We start from the raw sequence: 17,724 nt of genomic DNA, 5'->3' as shown, positions 1-17,724 counted from the left end.
AGGTTCAACCCTGTGAGATGAATGCATACATCACAAAGAAGTTTCTCAGAATGTTTCTGTGTAGTTTTTATTTGAAAATATTTCCTTTTCGACCACAAGCCACAAAGGGCTCCAAATATCCACTTGCACATTCTGCAAAAAGAGAGATTGAAAACTGCTCAATCAAAAGATAGGTTCACCTCTGTGAGTTGAATGCACATATCTCAAAGAAGTTTCTCAGAATGCTTCCGTGTAGTTTTTATTTGAAGATATTTCCATTTCCACCATAGGGTGCAATGAGCTCCAAATAACCACTAGCAGATTCTACAAAAAGAGAGATTCAAAACTGCTCAATCAAAAGATAGGTTCAACTCTGTGAGGTGAATGCACACATCATGAAGAAGTTTCTGAGAATGCTTCTGTGTAGTTTTTATTTGAAGATATTTCCTTTTCCACTACAGGGCACAAACGGCTCCAAATACCTACTTGCAGATTCTACAAACAGAGAGATTCTAAACTGCTCAATCAAAAGATAGGTTCAACTCTGTGAGTTGAATGCACACATCACAAAGAAGTTTCTCAGCATGCTTCTGAGTAGTTTTTATGTGAAGATATTTCCTTTTCCACAATAGGCCTCAAAGGGCTCCAATTATCCACTTGCAGATTGTACAAAAAGAGTGTTTCAAAACTGTTCAATCAAAAGAAAGATTCAACTCTGTGAATTGAATGCACACATCAAAAAGAAGTTTCTCAGAATGCTTCTGTGTAGTTTTTATATGAAGATATTTCCTTTTCCACAATAGGCCTCAAGGCACGCCAAATATCCACCTGCAGATTCTACAAAAAGAGTGTCAAAACTGCTCAATCGTAAGATAGGTTTGACGCTGTGAGTTCAATGCACACATCATGGAGAAGTTTCTCAGAATGCATCTGTGTAGTTTTAATTGGAAGATATTTCCTTTCCACCATAGGCCACAAAGGGCTCCAAATATCCACTTGCAGATTCTACAAAAAGAGAGATTCAAAACTGCTCAATCATGAGAGGCTGGACACTGTGAGTTGAATGCACACATCACAAAGAAGTTTCTCAGAATGCTTCTGAGTACTATTTATGTGAAGATATTTCCTTTTCCACAATAGGCATCAAAGTGCTCCAAATGTCCACTTGGAGATTCTCTAAAAAGAGAGATTCAAAACTGCTCAATCAAAGTATAGATTCAACTCTGTGAGTTGAATGCACACATCAAAAAGAAGTTCCTCAGAATGCTTCTTTGTAGTTTTTATGTGAAAATATTTGCTTTTCCACAGTAGGCCTCAAAGAGCTCTAAATGCCCACTTGCAGATTCTCCAAAAAGAGAGATTCAAAACTGCTGAATCAAAGCATAGGTTCAACTCTGTGAGTTGAATGCACACATCATGAAGAAGTTTCTGATAATTCTTCTGTGTAGTTTTTATTTGAAGATATTTCCTTTTCCACCATAGACCGCAAAGGGCTCCTAATATGCACTTGCAGATTCTGCAAAGAGACAGATTCAAAACTGCCTAATCAAAATATAGTTTCAACTCTGTGAGATGAACGCACACATCCCCAAGAAGTTTCACACAATGCTACTGTGTAGTTTTTATTTGAAGATATTTGCTTTTCCACAGTAGCCATCAAAGAGCTCCAAATATCCACCTGCAGATTCTGCAAAAAGAGAGATTCAAAACTGCTCAATCAAAAGATAGGTTCAACTCTGTAAGTTCTATGCATACATCACAAAGAAGTTTCTCTGAATGCTTCTGTGTAGTTTTTATTTGAAAATATTTGCTTTTCCACAGTAGGCCTCAAAGGGCTCCAAATAACCAGATGCAGATTCTACAAAAAGAGAGATTCAAAACTGCTCATTGAAAATATATGTTCAACTCTGTGAGTTGAATGCATACATCACAAAGGAGTTTCTCTCAATGCTTCTGTGTAGTTTTTATTTGAAGATAATTTCTTTTCCACCACAGGGTGCAAAGGGCTCCAAATATCCACTTACAGAATCTACACAAAGAGAGATGGAATACTGCTAACTGACAAGATAAGTTCAACTCTATGAATTGAATGCACACCTCTCAAAGAAGTTTCTCAAAGTGCTTCTGTGTAGTTTTTATGTGAAGATATTTCCTTTTCCACAAGAGGCATAAAAGCTCTCCAAACATCCAATTGCAGATTCTGCAAAAAGAGAGATTCAAATCTGCTCTATCAAAAGATAGGTTCAACTCTGTGAGTTGAATCCACACATCACAAAGACGTTTCTGAGAACGCTGTGTAGTTTTTCTGTGAACACATTTGATTTTACCCAGTAGGCCTCACAGCGCTACAAATATCCACTTGCAGATTCTAGAAAAAGAGATTCTAAACTGCTCAATCAAAAGATAGGTTCAACTCTGTGAGGTGAATGCACACATCACAAAGAAGTTTCTCAGAATGCTTCTCAGTAGTTTTTATTTGAAGATATTTCCTTTTACACCAAAGGCGGCAAAGGGCTCCAAATATCCACTTGCAGATTCTGCAAAAAGAGTGTTTCAAAACTGCTCAATCATAAGATAGGTTCAACCCTGTGAGATGAAGGCACACATCACCAAGAAGCTTCTCAGAATGTTTCTATGTAGTTTTTATTTGAAGATATTTCCTTTTCCACCAATGGGCGCAAAGGGCTCCAAATATCAACTTGCAGATTCTAAAAATGATGAGTTTCAAAACTGCTCAATGAGAAGATAACTTCAGATCTGTGAGTTGAATGCACACCTCATGAAGACGTTTCTCAGAATGCTTCTCTGTAGTTTTCATGTGAAGATATTTACTTTTCCACTCTAGGCCTCAAAGCTCTCCCAACATCCATTTGCAGATTCTGCAAAAAGAGAGATTCCAAACTGCTTAAACGAAACATAGGTTCAACTCTATGAGTTAAATGCACACATCACAACGAAGTTTCACAGAATGATTCTTTGTAGGTTTTATGTGAACGTATTTGGTTTTCCACAGTAGGCCTCACATCACTCCAAATATCCACTTGCAGTTTCCACAAGAGAGATTCAAAACTGCTCAATCAAAAGATAGGTTCAACAGTGTGTGTTGAATGCAGACATCACGAAGAAGTTTCTGAGAATGCTTCTGTGTAGTTTTTATTTGAAGATATTTCCTTTTCCACTACAGGGCGCAAAGGGTTCCAAATAGCCAATTGCAGATACTACAAAAACAGAGATTCAAAAGTGCTCTTTTAGAAGCTAAATTCAACTCAGTGAGTTGAATGCACAGCTCACAAAGAAGCTTCTCAGAATGCTTCTCTGTGGTTTTCATGTAGAGATATTTCCATTTCCACAATAGGCCTCATAGCTCTCCAAACATCCACTTGCAGATTCTGCAAAAAGAGAGATTAAAAACTGATCTCTCAAAAGACAGTTTCAACTCTGTGAGTTGAAAGCACACACAACCAAGAAGTTTCTGAGAATGCTTCTGGGTAGTTTTTATTTGAAGATATTTCTTTTTTCACCAGAGGGTGCAAAGGGGTAAAAATACCAAATGCAGATTCTACACAAAAAGAGATTCTAAACTGCTTAATCAAAAGATAGGTTCAAATCAGTGAGTTGAATGCACACATCACAAAGAAGTTTCTCAGAATGTTTCTGAGTAGTTTTTATGTGAAGATATTTCCCTTCCACAATAGGACTCAAAGGGCTCCAAATATACACTTGCACAATCTACAAAAAAAGAGTTTTTCACTGCTCAATCAAAAGATAGGTTTAACTCTGTGAGTTGAATGCACACATCACAAGAAGTTTCTCAGAATGCCTCTGTGTAGCTTTTATGTGAAGATATTTCCTTTTCCACAACAGGCCTCAAAAGGCTCCAAATATCCACTTGCAGATTCTTCAAAAAGAGTGTTTCAAAACTGCTCAATCAAAAGAAAGGTTCAACTCTGTGAGACGAATACGCGCATCACAAAGAAGTTTCCAAGAATGCTTCTGTGTAGTTTTTACCTGAATATATTTGCTTTTCCACGGTTGGCCTCAAAGCGCTCCAAATACCTTCTTGCAGATTCTACAGGAAGTAAGATTCAAAACTGCTCAATGAGAAGATAAGTTCATCTCTGTGAGTTGAACGCACACCTCCCAAAGAAGTTTCTCAGAATGCTTCTCTGTAGTTTTTCTGTGAAGATATTCCATTTTCCACAATAGGCCTCAAAGCTCTCTGAACGTCCACTTGCAGAATCTGTAAAAGGAGAGATTCAAAACTGCTCATTCAAAAGATAGGTTCCACTCTGTGAGTTGATTGGACATATCACAATGAAGTTTCTCAGAATGCTTCTGTGTAGTTTTTATGTGAAGATATTTGCTGTCCCACAGCTGGCCTCAAAAGGCACCAAATAGCCACCTGCAGATTCTGCAAAAAAAGACATTCAAGACTGCTCAATCAAGAGTTAGGTTCAACTCCGTGAGGTGAATGCATACATCATAAAGGAGTTTCTCTGAATGCTTCTGTGTAGTTTTTATTTGAAGATGTTTCCTTTTCCACCATAGGGGGTAAAGGGCAACAAATATACACCTGCAGATACTACAAAAAGTGTATTTCAAATGGGCTCAATCAAAAGAAAGGTTCACGTCTGTGATATGAATGCACACATCAAAAAGAAGATTCTCAGAATGCTTCTGTGTAGTTTTCGTATGAAGCTATTTGATTATACACAGTAGGCGTCATAGCTCTCCACATATCCACTGTCAGATTGTACAAAAAGAGAGATTCAAAACTGCTCCATCAAAATATATGTTCAACTCTGTGAGTTGAATGCACATATCATGAAGAAATTTCTGAGAATGATTATGTGTACTTTTTACGTGAAGATATTTCCTTTTCAACCCTAGGATGCAAAGAGCTCCAAATATCCACTTGCAGATTCTACAAAAAGAGAGATTCTGAACTGCTCCATCAAAAGATATGTTTAACTCTGTGAGTTGAATACACACATCACAGAGAAGCTTCTCAGAATGATTCTGACTAGTTTTTTTTTTCTTTTTTCTTTTTATACTTTAAGTTTTAGGGTACATTTGCACATTGTGCAGGTTAGATACATATGTATACATGTGCCATGCTGATGCGCTGCACCCACCAACTCGTCATCTAGCATTAGATATATCTCCCAATGCTATCCCTCACCCCTCCCCCCACCCCACAACAGTCCCCAGAGTGTGAAGTTCCCCTTCCTGTGTCCATGTGATTTCATTGTTCAATTCCCAACTATGAGAGAGAATATGTGGTGTTTGGTTTTTTGTTCTTGCAATAGTTTACTGAGAATGATGATTTCCAATTTCATCCATGTCCCTACAAAGGACATGAACTCACCCTTTTTTATGGCTGCATAGTATTCCATGGTGTATATGTGCCACATTTTCTTAATCCAATCTATCATTGTTGGACATTTGGGTTGGTTCCAAGTCTTTGCTATTGTGAATAATGCTGCAATAAACATACGTGTGCATATGTCTTTATAGCAGCATGATTTATAGTCCTTTGGGTATATACCCAGTAATAGGATGGCTGGGTCAAATGGTACTTCCAGTTCTAGATCCCTGAGGAATCGCCACACTGACTTCCACAATGGTTGAACTAGTTTACAGTCCCACCAACAGTGTAAAAGTGTTCCTATTTCTCCACATCCTCTCCAGCACCTGTTGTTTCCTGACTTTTTAACGATTGCCATTCTATCTGGTGTGAGATGGTATCTGATTGTGGTTTTGATTTGCATTTCTCTGATGGCCAGTGGTGATGAGCATTTTTTCATGTGTTTTTTGGCTGCATAAATGTCTTCTTTTGAAAAGTGTCTGTTCATGTCCTTTGCCCACTTTTTGATGGGGTTGTTTATTTTTTTCTTGTAAATTTGTTTGAGTTCATTGTAGATTCTGGATATTAGCCCTTTGTCAGATGAGTAGGTTGCGAAAATTTTCTCCCATTTTGTAGGTTGCATGTTCACTCTGATGATAGTGTCTTTGGCTGTGCACAAGCTCTTCAGTTTAATTAGATCCCATTTGTCAATTTTGTCTTTTGTTGCCATTGCTTTTGGTGTTTTAGACATGAAGTCCTTGCCCATGCCTGTGTCCTGAATGGTAATGTCAAGGTTTTCTTCTAGGGTTTTTATGGTTTTAGGTCTAGCGTTTAAGTCTTTAATCCATCTTGAATTGATTTTGGTATAAGGTGTAAGGAAGGGATCCAGTTTCAGCTTTCAAAAAAAGAGAATTTTAGACCAATAACCTTGATGAACATTGATGCAAAAATCCTCAATAAAATACTGGCAAAAAGAATCCAGCAGCACATCGAAAAGCTTATCCACCATGATCAAGTGGGCTTCATCCCTGGGATGCAAGGCTGGTTCAATATATGCAAATCAATAAATGTAATCCAGCATATAAACAGAACCAAAGACAAAAACCACATGATTATCTCAATAGATGCAGAAAAGCCCTTTGACAAAATTCAACAACCCTTCATGCTAAAAACTCTCAATAAATTAGGTATTGATGGGACGTATTTCAAAATAATTAAGAGTTATCTATGACAAACCCACCGCCAATATCGTACTGAATGGGCAAAAACTGGAAGCATTTCCTTTGAAACTGGCACAAGACAGGGATGTCCTCTCTCACCACTCCTATTCAACATAGTGTTGGAAGTTCTGGCCAGGGCAATTAGGCAGGAGAAGGAAATAAAGGGTATTCCATTAGGAAAAGAGGAAGTCAAATTGTCCCTGTTTGCAGACAACATGATTGTATATCTAGAAAACCCCATTGTCTCAGCCCAAAATCTCCTTAAGCCGATAAGCAACTTCAGCAAAGTCTCAGGATACAAAATCAATGTACAAAAATCACAAGCATTCTTATACACCAACAACAGACAAACAGAGAGCCAAATCATGAGTGAACTCCCATTCACAATTGCTTCAAAGAGAATAAAATACCTAGGAATCCAACTTACAAGGGATGTGAAGGACCTCTTCAAGGAGAACTACAAACAACTACTCAAGGAAATAAAAGAGGATACAAACAAATGGAAGAACATTCCACGCTCATGGGTAGGAAGAATCAATATCGTGAAAATGGCCATACTGCCCAAGGTAATTTGCAGATTCAGTGCCATCCCCATCAAGCTACCAATGCCTTTCTTCACAGAATTGGAAAAGCTACTTTAAAGTTCATATGGAACCAAAAAAGAGCCCGCATCACCAAGTCAATCCTAAGCCAAAAGAACAAAGCTGGAGGCATCACACTACCTGACTTCAAACTATACTACAAGGTTCCAGTAACCAAAACAGCATGGTACTGGTACCAAAACAGAGATATAGATCAACGGAACAGAACAGAGCCCTCAGAAATAACGCCGCATATCTACAACTATCTGATCTTTGACAAACCTGAGAAAAACAAGCAATGGGGAAAGGATTCCCTCTTTAATAAATGGTGCTGGGAAAACTGACTAGCCATATGTAGAAAGCTGTCTAGTTTTTATGTGAAGATAATCCCATTTCCAAGGAAGGCTTCAAAGCGCTCTAAATATGCGCCTCCAGATTCTACAAAAAGACTGTTTCAAAACTGCTCTATCAAAAAGATGGTTCAACTCTGTGAGTTGAATGCACACATCACAAATAATTTTCTGAGAATGGCTCCGTCTATTTTTTATGTGAAGGTATTTGCGTTTCCAACGAAGACTTCAAAGCGCTCCAAAGATGTAAATGCAGATTCTACAAAAAGAGTGTTTCAAAACTTCTCTATCTGAAGGAAGGTTCAGTTCTGTGAGTTGAATGCACACATCACAAAGGACTTTCTGACAATGCTTCCATCTAGTTTTTAGGTGAAGATATTCCTATTTCAAACGAAGGCTTCTATTCGCTACAAATATCTACATGCACATTCTACAAAAAGAGTGTTTCCAAACTGCTCTATCAAAAGGAAGGTTCAACTGTGTGAGTTGAATGCACACATCACAAAGTGGTTTCTGAGAATGCTTCTTTCTAGTATTTATATGAAGCTATTCCCGTTTCCAACGAAGGATTCAAAGAGCTCCAAATATCCTCCTGCAGACTTAATAAAAAAGGGCTTCCAAACTGCTCTATCAAAAGTAAAGTTCAACTATGTGAGTTGAATGAACACAACACAAAGAAGTTTCTGAGAATGCTTCCGTCTAGTTTTTATGTGAAGATATTTCCTTTTCCACCATAGCCTTCAAAGCGCTCCAAAAGTCCATTTGCAGATTCGACAAAAAGAGTGTTTCCAGACTGCTCTATCAAAAGAAAGGTTCAACTATGGGAGTAGAATGCACACATCACAAAGTCGCTTCTGAGAATGCTTCTGTCTAGTTTTTATCTGAAGATATTTCCTTTTCTACCACAGGCCTCAATGCACTCAAAATACCCACTTTTAGATTCTACAAACAGAGTGTTTCAAAACTGTTCTATCAAAAGGAACGTTCAAATCTGTGAGTTGAATGCAAGCATCACAAAGAAGTTTCTGAGAATGCTTCTGTCTAGTTTTTATGTGAAGATATTCCCATTTCCAATGAAGGCTTCAAAGAGCTCAAAATATCCTATTGCAGATTGTACAAAAAGAGTGTTTCAAAACTGCTCTATCAAAAGGAAGGTTCAATTCTGTAAGTTGAATGCACACATCACAAATAAGTTTGTGAGAATGCTTCTGTCTAGTTTTTATGTGAAGATATTCCCGTTTCCAACAAAGGCTTCAAAGCGCTCCAAATATCCACCTGCTGATGCTACAAAAAGAGTGTTTCAAAACTGTTCTATAAAAAGAAAAGTTCAGCTCTGTGGTTTCAATGCACACAACAGAAAGAAGTTTCTGAGAATGCTTCCGTCTAGTTTTTAAGTGAAGATATTCCAGTTTTCAATGAAAGCTTCAAAGTGCTCCAAATATCCACTTGCAGATTCTACAAAAAGAGTGTTTCAAAACTGCTCTATCGAAAGTAAAGTTCTACTTTGTGAGTTGAATGCACACATCAAAATGAATTTTATGAGAATACTTCTGTCTAGTTTTTATGTGAAGATATTTCCTTTTCGACAATAGCTGTCAAAGCCCTCCAAATGCACACTTGAAGATTCTTCACAAAGACTGTTTCCAATCTGCTCTATCAGAAGAAAGTTTCAACTGTGAGAGTAGAATGGACACATCACAAAGTAGTTTCTGTGAATGCTTCTGTCTAGTTTTTGTATGAAGATACAAATCTGTGAGTTGAATGCACACATCACAAAGAAGTTTCTGAGAATGCTTCTGTCTAGTTTTAATGTGAAGATATTTCCTTTTCCACTACAAGCCTAAAAGAGCTCCAAATGTCCAACTGCAGATTCTATAAAAAGAGTGTTTCAAAACTGCACTATCAAAAGAAAGGTTCAGTTCTGTAAGTTGAAAGCACACATCACAAAGAAATTTCTGAGAATGTTTCTGTGTAATTTTTATGTGAAGATATTCCCGTTTCCAACGAAGGTTTCAAAGCGCTCCAAATATACACCTGCAGATTCTACAAAAAGAGTGTTTCAAAACTGCTCTATCAAAAGGAAACTTCAACACTTTGAGTTGAATGCACTCATCACAAAGAAGTTTCTCAGAATGCTTCTGCCAAGTTTTAATATGAAGGTATATCCTTTTCCACAGAAGGCCCCAAAGAGCTCCAAGTGTTCACCTGCAGATTCTAAAAAAAGAGTGTTTCAAAACTGCTCTATCAAAAAGAAGGTTGAAATCTGTGAGTTGAATGCACACATCACAAAGAAGTTTCTGAGAATGTTTCTGTGTAGTTTTTATGTGAAGATATTCATGTTTCCAACGGAGGCTTCAAAGTGCTCCAAATGTCCACATGCAGATTCTACAAAAAGAGTGTTTCTAAACTGCTCTTTTAAAAGAAAGGTTCAACTCTGGGAGTAGAATGCAGTCATCACAAAGTGGTTTCTGAGAATGCTTCAGTGTAGATTTTATATGAAGATTTTCCCTGTTATACCGTAGTTCTAAAAGCAGTCCAAATTTCCACTTGCAGATTCTACAAAAAAGAGTGTTTCAAAACTCCTACATCTAAGGGGAGGTTCAGATCTGTGAGTTGAATGCACAAATCACAAAGTAGGTTCTCAGAAAGTTTCTCTCTAGTTTTTATGTGAAGATATTCCCATTTTCAATGAAGGCTTCAATACGTTCCAAATATCCACTTGCAGATTCTACAAAATAAGAATTTCAAAACTGCTCTATCAAAACGAAGGTTCAACGAAGTTGAAAGCACACACCACAAACTGGTTTCTGAGAATGCTTCTTTCTAGTTTTTATGTGAAGATATTCCCGTTTCCAATGAAGGATTCAAAGAGCACCAAATATCCACCTGCAGATACTACAAAAACAGTTTTTCAAAACTGCTCAATCAAAAGGAAGGTTCAGCTCCGTGAGTTCAATGCCCACATCACAAAGAAGTTTCTGAGAATGCTTCTGTCTAGTTTCAATGGGAAGATATTCCCGTTTCAAACGAAGGCTTCAAAGCGCTCCAAATATCCACTTGCAGAGTCTACAAAAAGACTGTTTCAAAACTGCTCTATAAAAGTAAGGTTGTACTTTGTTAGTTGAATGCACCCATCAAAATGAAGTTTCTGAGAACACTTCTGTCTACTTTTCATGTGAAGATATTTCCTTATCCACGATAGTCCCCAAAGCCCTCAAAATGCCCACTCGAACATTCCTCAAAAAGACGGTTTCAATACTGCAGTATCAGAAGGAAATTTCAACTATGTGAGTAGAATGCACACATCACAAAGTAGTTTCTGAGAATGCTTCTGTCTAGTTTTTATATGAAGATATTTCCTTTTCTACCTTAAGCCTCAAAGTGCTGCAATGATGCACTTTCAGATTCTTCAAAAAGAGGGTTTCAAAACTGCTCTGGCAAAAGGAAGTTTCAACGCTGTGAGTGGAATGCACACATCACAAAGAAGTTTCTGAGAATGCTTCTGTCTAATTTTTATGTGAAGATAATCCTGTTTCCCAAGAAGGCTTCAAAGCACCCTAATATCCGCCTCCAGATTCTACAGAAAGAGTGTTTCAAAACTGCTCTATCAAAAGGAAGGTTCAACTCTGTGAGTTGAATGCAGACATCATAAAGGAGTTTCTGAGAATGCTTCTGTCTTGTTTTAATGTGAAGATATTTCCTTTTCAACCGATAGCCTAAAAGAGCTCCAAATGTCCAACTGCAGATTTTTTAAAAAGAATGTTTCAAAACTGCACTATCAAAAGAAAGGTTCAGCTCTGTGAGTTGAATGCACACATCTCGAAGAAGTTTCTGAGAATGCTTCTGTCTAGTTTTTATGTGAAGATATTCGCGATTCCAATGAAGTCTTCAAAGCGCTCCAAATATCTAAATGCGGATTCTACAAAAAGAGTGATTCAAAACTGGTCTATGAAAAGGAAGGTTCAGCTCTGTGAGTTGAACGCACACATCACAAAAAGTTTCGGAGAATGCTTCCATTTAGTTTTTAGGTGAAGATATTACCTTTTCAACCACAGCCTTCAAAACGCTCCAAATGTCCACTTGCAGATTCTACAAGAAGATTGTTTCCAGGCTGCTCTATCAAAAGAAATGTTCAACTATGGGAGTAGAATACACACATCACAAAGTCGTTTCTGAGAATGCTTCTGTCTAGTTTTTATGTGAAGATATTTCCTTTTCTACCAGAGGCCTGAAAGCGCTCCAAATGTCCAATAGTAGATTCTACAAAAAGAGTGTTTCAAAACTTCTCTATCAAAAGTAAGTGTCTGCTTTGTGAGTTGAAGGTACACATCAAAATGAAGTTTCTGATTATACTTCTGTCTACTTCTTATGTGAAGATATTTCCTTATCCGCAATGGTCCTCAAAGCCCTCGAAATGCCCACTTGAAGATTCTTCGGAAAGACTGTTTCAAAACTGCTCTCTCAAAAGAAAGTTTCCACTTTGTGTGTAGAATGCACACATCACAAAGTCGTTTCTGAGAATGCTTCTGTCTAGTTTTTATATGAAGATATTTCCTTTACTACCATAAGCCTCAAATCACTGCACATATGAACGGGCAGATTCTTTAAAAAGAGTGTTTCAAAACTGCTCTATCAAAACTGTTCTATCAACTCTGTGAGTTGAATGGACACATCACAAAGACTTTTCTGAGAATGCTTCTGTCTAGGTTTTAGGTGAAGATATTCTCGTTTCCGAAGAATGCTTCAAAGAGTACTTAAATATCCGCCTGCAGATTCTACAAAAGGAGTGTTTCAAAACTGCTCTAACAAAAGAAAAGTTCAACCTGGGTGTTGAATGCACACATCACAAAGAAGTTTCTGAGAATGCTTCTGTCTAGTTTTAATGCGAAGATATTCCCTCTTCCACCATAACCTTCAAAGCGCTCCAAATGTCCATTTGCAGATTTTACAAACAGAGTGTTTCCAGACTGCTCTACCAAAAGAAATTTTCAACTATGGGAGTAGAATGCACACATCACAAATTCGTTTCTGAGAATGCTTCTGTCTAGTTTTTATGTGAAGATATTTCCTTTTCTACCATAGGCATAAACGTGCTCCAAATATCCACTGGCAGATTCTAAAAAAAGAGTGTTTCAAAACTGCTCTATCAAAAGGAAGGTTCAATTCTGTGAGTTGAATGCACACATCACAAAGTAGTTTCTGAGAATGCTTCTGCCTAATTTTTAATTTTAAGATATTCCCATTTCCAAAGAAGGCTTCAATTTGCTCCAAATATCCACTTGCAGATTGTCCAAAAAGAGGGTTTCAAAACTGCTCTATCAAAAGGAAGGTTCAACTCTGTGAGATGAATGCACACATCACAACGTGGTTTCAGAGAATGCTTGTTTCTAGTTTTCAGGTGACGATATTCCCGTTTCCAATGTAGCACTCAAAGAGCTCCAAATATCCTCCTGCAGATAGTGCAAAAAGGGTGTTTCAAAACTGCTCTATCAAAAAGAAGCTTCAACTCTGTGAGTTGAATGCACAAATCACAAAGAAGTTTCTGGGAATACTTCTGTCTATTTTTATGTGACGATACTCCCGTTTCCAAAGAAGGCTTCAAAGCACTCCAAATATCCACCTGCAGATTATAAAGGAAGAGTTTTTCAAAACTGCTCAATCCAAAGGAAGGTTCAGCTCCGTGAGTTCAATGCCCACATCACAAAGAAGTTTCTGAGAATGCTTCTGTCTAGTTTCAAGGGGAAGATATTCCCGTTTCCAACGAAGGCTTCAAAGCGCTCCAAATATCCACTTGCAGAGTCTACAAAAAGACTGTTTCAAAACTGCTCAATAAAAGTAAGGTTCTACCTTGTTAGTTGAATGCACCCATCAAAATGAAGTTTCTGAGAACACTTCTGTCTACTTTTCATGTGAAGATATTTCCTTATCCACAATAGTCCCCAAAGCCCTCAAAATGCCCACTGGAAGATTCCTCAAAAAGACGGTTTCAATACTGCAGTATCAGAAGGAAATTTCAACTATGTGAGTAGAATGCACACATCACAAAGTAGTTTCTGAGAATGCTTCTGTCTAGTTTTTATATGAAGATATTTCCTTTTCTACATTAAGCCTCAAAGTGCTGCAATTATGCACTTTCAGATTCTTCAAAAAGAGGGTTTCAAAACTGCTCTAGCAAAAGGAAGTTTCAACGCTGTGAGTTGAATGCACACATCACAAAGAAGTTTCTGAGAATGCTTCTGTCTAATTTTTATGTGAAGATAATCCTGTTTCCCAAGAAGGCTTCAAAGCACCCTAACATCCGCCTCCATATTCTACAGAAAGAGTGTTTCAAAACTGCTCTATCAAAAGGAAGGTTCAACTCTGTGAGTTGAATGCAGACATCATAAAGGAGTTTCTGAGAATGCTTCTGTCTTGTTTTAATGTGAAGATACTTCCTTTTCAACCGATAGCCTAAAAGAGCTCCAAATGTCCAACTGCAGATTTTTTAAAAAGAATGTTTCAAAACTGCACTATCAAAAGAAAGGTTCAGCTCTGTGAGTTGAATGCACACATCTCAAAGGAGTTTCTGAGAATGGTTCTGTCTAGTTTTTATGTGAAGGTATTCGCGATTCCAATGAAGTCTTCAAAGCGCTCCAAATATCTAAATGCGGATTCTAGAAAAAGAGTGATTCAAAACTGGTCTAAGAAAAGGAAGGTTCAGCTCTGTGAGTTGAACGCACACATCACAAAAAGTTTCGGAGAATGCTTCCATTTAGTTTTTAGGTGAAGATATTACCTTTTCAACCACAGCCTTCAAAACGCTCCAAATGTCCACTTGCAGATTCTACAAGAAGATTGTTTCCAGGCGGCTCTATCAAAAGAAATGTTCAACTATGGGAGTAGAATACACACATCACAAAGTCGTTTCTGAGAATGCTTCTGTCTAGTTTTTATGTGAAGATATTTCCTTTTCTACCAGAGGCCTGAAAGCGCTCCAAATATCCAATTGCAGATTCTACAAAAAGAGTGTTTCAAAACTTCTCTATCAAAAGTAAGGGTCTGCTTTGTGAGTTGAATGTACACATCAAAATGAAGTTTCTGATTATACTTCTGTCTACTTCTTATGTGAAGATATTTCCTTATCCGCAATGGTCCTCAAAGCCCTCGAAATGCCCACTTGAAGATTCTTCGGAAAGACTGTTTCAAAACTGCTCTATCAAAAGAAAGTTTCAACTTTGTGTGTAGAATGCACACATCACAAAGTCGTTTCTGAGAATGCTTCTGTCTAGTTTTTATATGAAGATATTTCCTTTTCTACCATAAGCCTCAAAGCACTGCACATATGAACTGGCAGATTCTTCAAAAAGAGTGTTTCAAAACTGCTCTATCAAAACTGTTCTATCAACTCTGTGAGTTGAGTGGACACATCACAAAGACGTTTCTGAGAATGCTTCTGTCTAGGTTTTAGGTGAAGATATTCTCGTTTCCAAAGAATGCTTCAAATAGTACTTAAATATCCGCCTGCAGATTCTACAAAAGGAGTGTTTCAAAACTGCTCTAACAAAAGAAAGGTTCAACCTGGGAGTTGAATGCACACATCACAAAGAAGTTTCTGAGAATGCTTCTGTCTAGTTTTAATGCGAAGATATTCCCTCTTCCACCATAACCTTCAAAGCGCTCCAAATGTCCATTTGCAGATTTTACAAACAGAGTGTTTCCAGACTGCTCTACCAAAAGAAATTTTCAACTATGGGAGTAGAATGCACACATCACAAATTCGTTTCTGAGAATGCTTCTGTCTAGTTTTTATGTGAAGATATTTCCTTTTCTACCATAGGCATAAATGTGCTCCAAATATCCACTGGCAGATTCTAAAAAAAGAGTGTTTCAAAACTGCTCTATCAAAAGGAAGGTTCAATTCTGTGAGTTGAACGCACACATCACAAATTCGTTTCTGAGAATGCTTCTGTCTAGTTTTTATGTGAAGATATTTCCTTTTCTACCATAGGCATAAATGTGCTCCAAATATCCACTGGCAGATTCTAAAAAAAGAGTGTTTCAAAACTGCTCTATCAAAAGGAAGGTTCAATTCTGTGAGTTGAATGCACACATCACAAATTCGTTTCTGAGAATGCTTCTGTCTAGTTTTTATGTGAAGATATTTCCTTTTCTACCATAGGCATAAATGTGCTCCAAATATCCACTGGCAGATTCTAAAAAAAGAGTGTTTCAAAACTGCTCTATCAAAAGGAAGGTTCAATTCTGTGAGATGAATGCACACATCACAAAGTAGTTTCTGAGAATGCTTCTGCCTAATTTTTAATTTTAAGATATTCCCATTTCCAAAGAAGGCTTCAATTTGCTCCAAATATCCACTTGCAGATTGTACAAAAAGAGGGTTTCAAAACTGCTCTATCAAAAGGAAGGTTCAACTCTGTGAGATGAATGCACACATTTCAAAGTGGTTTCAGAGAATGCTTCTTTCTAGTTTTCAGGTGACGATATTCCCTTTTCCAATGTAGCACTCAAAGAGCTCCAAATATCCTCCTGCAGATTGTGCAAAAAGGGTGTTTCAAAACTGCTCTATCAAAAAGAAGCTTCAACTCTGTGAGTTGAATGCACAAATCACAAAGAAGTTTCTGGGAATACTTCTGTCTATTTTTATGTGACGATACTCCCGTTTCCAAAGAAGGCTTCAAAGCACTCCAAATATCCACCTGCAGATTATAAAGGAAGAGTTTTTCTAAACTGCTCAATCCAAAGGAAGGTTCAGCTCCGTGAGTTCAATGCCCACATCACAAAGAAGTTTCTGAGAATGCTTCTGTCTAGTTTCAAGGGGAAGATATTCCCGTTTCCAACGAAGGCTTCAAAGCGCTCCAAATATCCACTTGCAGAGTCTACAAAAAGACTGTTTCAAAACTGCTCTATAAAAGTAAGGTTGTACTTTGTTAGTTGAATGCACCCATCAAAATGAAGTTTCTGAGAACACTTCTGTCTACTTTTCATGTGAAGATATTTCCTTATCCACAATAGTCCCCAAAGCCCTCAAAATGCCCACTTGAAGATCGCTCAAAAAGACGGTTTCAAAACTGCAGTATCAGAAGGAAATTTCAACTATGTGAGTATAATGCACACATCACAAAGTAGTTTCTGAGAATGCTTCTGTCTAGTTTTTATATGAAGATATTTCCTTTTCTACCTTAAGCCTCAAAGTGCTGCAATTATGCACTTTCAGATTGTTCAAAAAGAGGGTTTCAAAACTGCTCTAGCAAAAGGAAGTTTCAACGCTGTGAGTTGAATGCACACATCACAAAGAAGTTTCTGAGAATGTTTCTGTCTAATTTTTATGTGAAGATAATCCTGCTTCCCAAGAAGGCTTCAAAGCACCCTAATATCCGCCTCCAGATTCTACAGAAAGAGTGTTTCAAAACTGCTCTATCAAAAGGAAGGTTCAACTCTTTGAGTTGAATGCAGACATCATAAAGGAGTTTCTGAGAATGCTTCTGTCTTGTTTTAATGTGAAGATACTTCCTTTTCAACCGATAGCCTAAAAGAGCTCCAAATGTCCAATTGCAGATTTTTTAAAAAGAATGTTTCAAAACTGCACTATCAAAAGAAAGGTTCAGCTCTGTGAGTTGAATGCACACATCTCAAAGGAGTTTCTGAGAATGGTTCGGTCTAGTTTTTATGTGAAGATATTCGCGATTCCAATGAAGTCTTCAAAGCGCTCCAAATATCTAAATGCGGATTCTACAAAAAGAGTGATTCAAAACTGGTCTAAGAAAAGGAAGGTTCAGCTCTGTGTGTTGAACGCACACATCACAAAAAGTTTCGGAGAATGCTTCCATTTAGTTTTTAGGTGAAGATATTACCTTTTCAACCACAGCCTTCAAAACGCTCCAAATGTCCACTTGCAGATTCTACAAGAAGATTGTTTCCAGGCGGCTCTATCAAAAGAAATGTTCAACTATGGGAGTAGAATACACACATCACAAAGTCGTTTCTGAGAATGCTTCTGTCTAGTTTTCATGTGAAGATATTTCCTTTTCTACCAGAGGCCTGAAAGCGCTCCAAATATCCAATTGCAGATTCTACAAAAAGAGTGTTTCAAAACTTCTCTATCAAAAGTAAGGGTCTGCTTTGTGAGTTGAATGTACACATCAAAATGAAGTTTCTGATTATACTTCTGTCTACTGCTTATGTGAAGATATTTCCTTATCCGCAATGGTCCTCAAAGCCCTCGAAATGCCCACTTGAAGATTCTTCGG

This window comes from Homo sapiens, chromosome 7 (assembly GCF_000001405.40).
Source record: "Homo sapiens chromosome 7, GRCh38.p14 Primary Assembly".
NCBI lineage: Eukaryota > Metazoa > Chordata > Mammalia > Primates > Hominidae > Homo > Homo sapiens.
The sequence above is the reverse complement of the archived record's forward strand: the minus strand, read 5'-3'. Positions refer to the sequence as shown.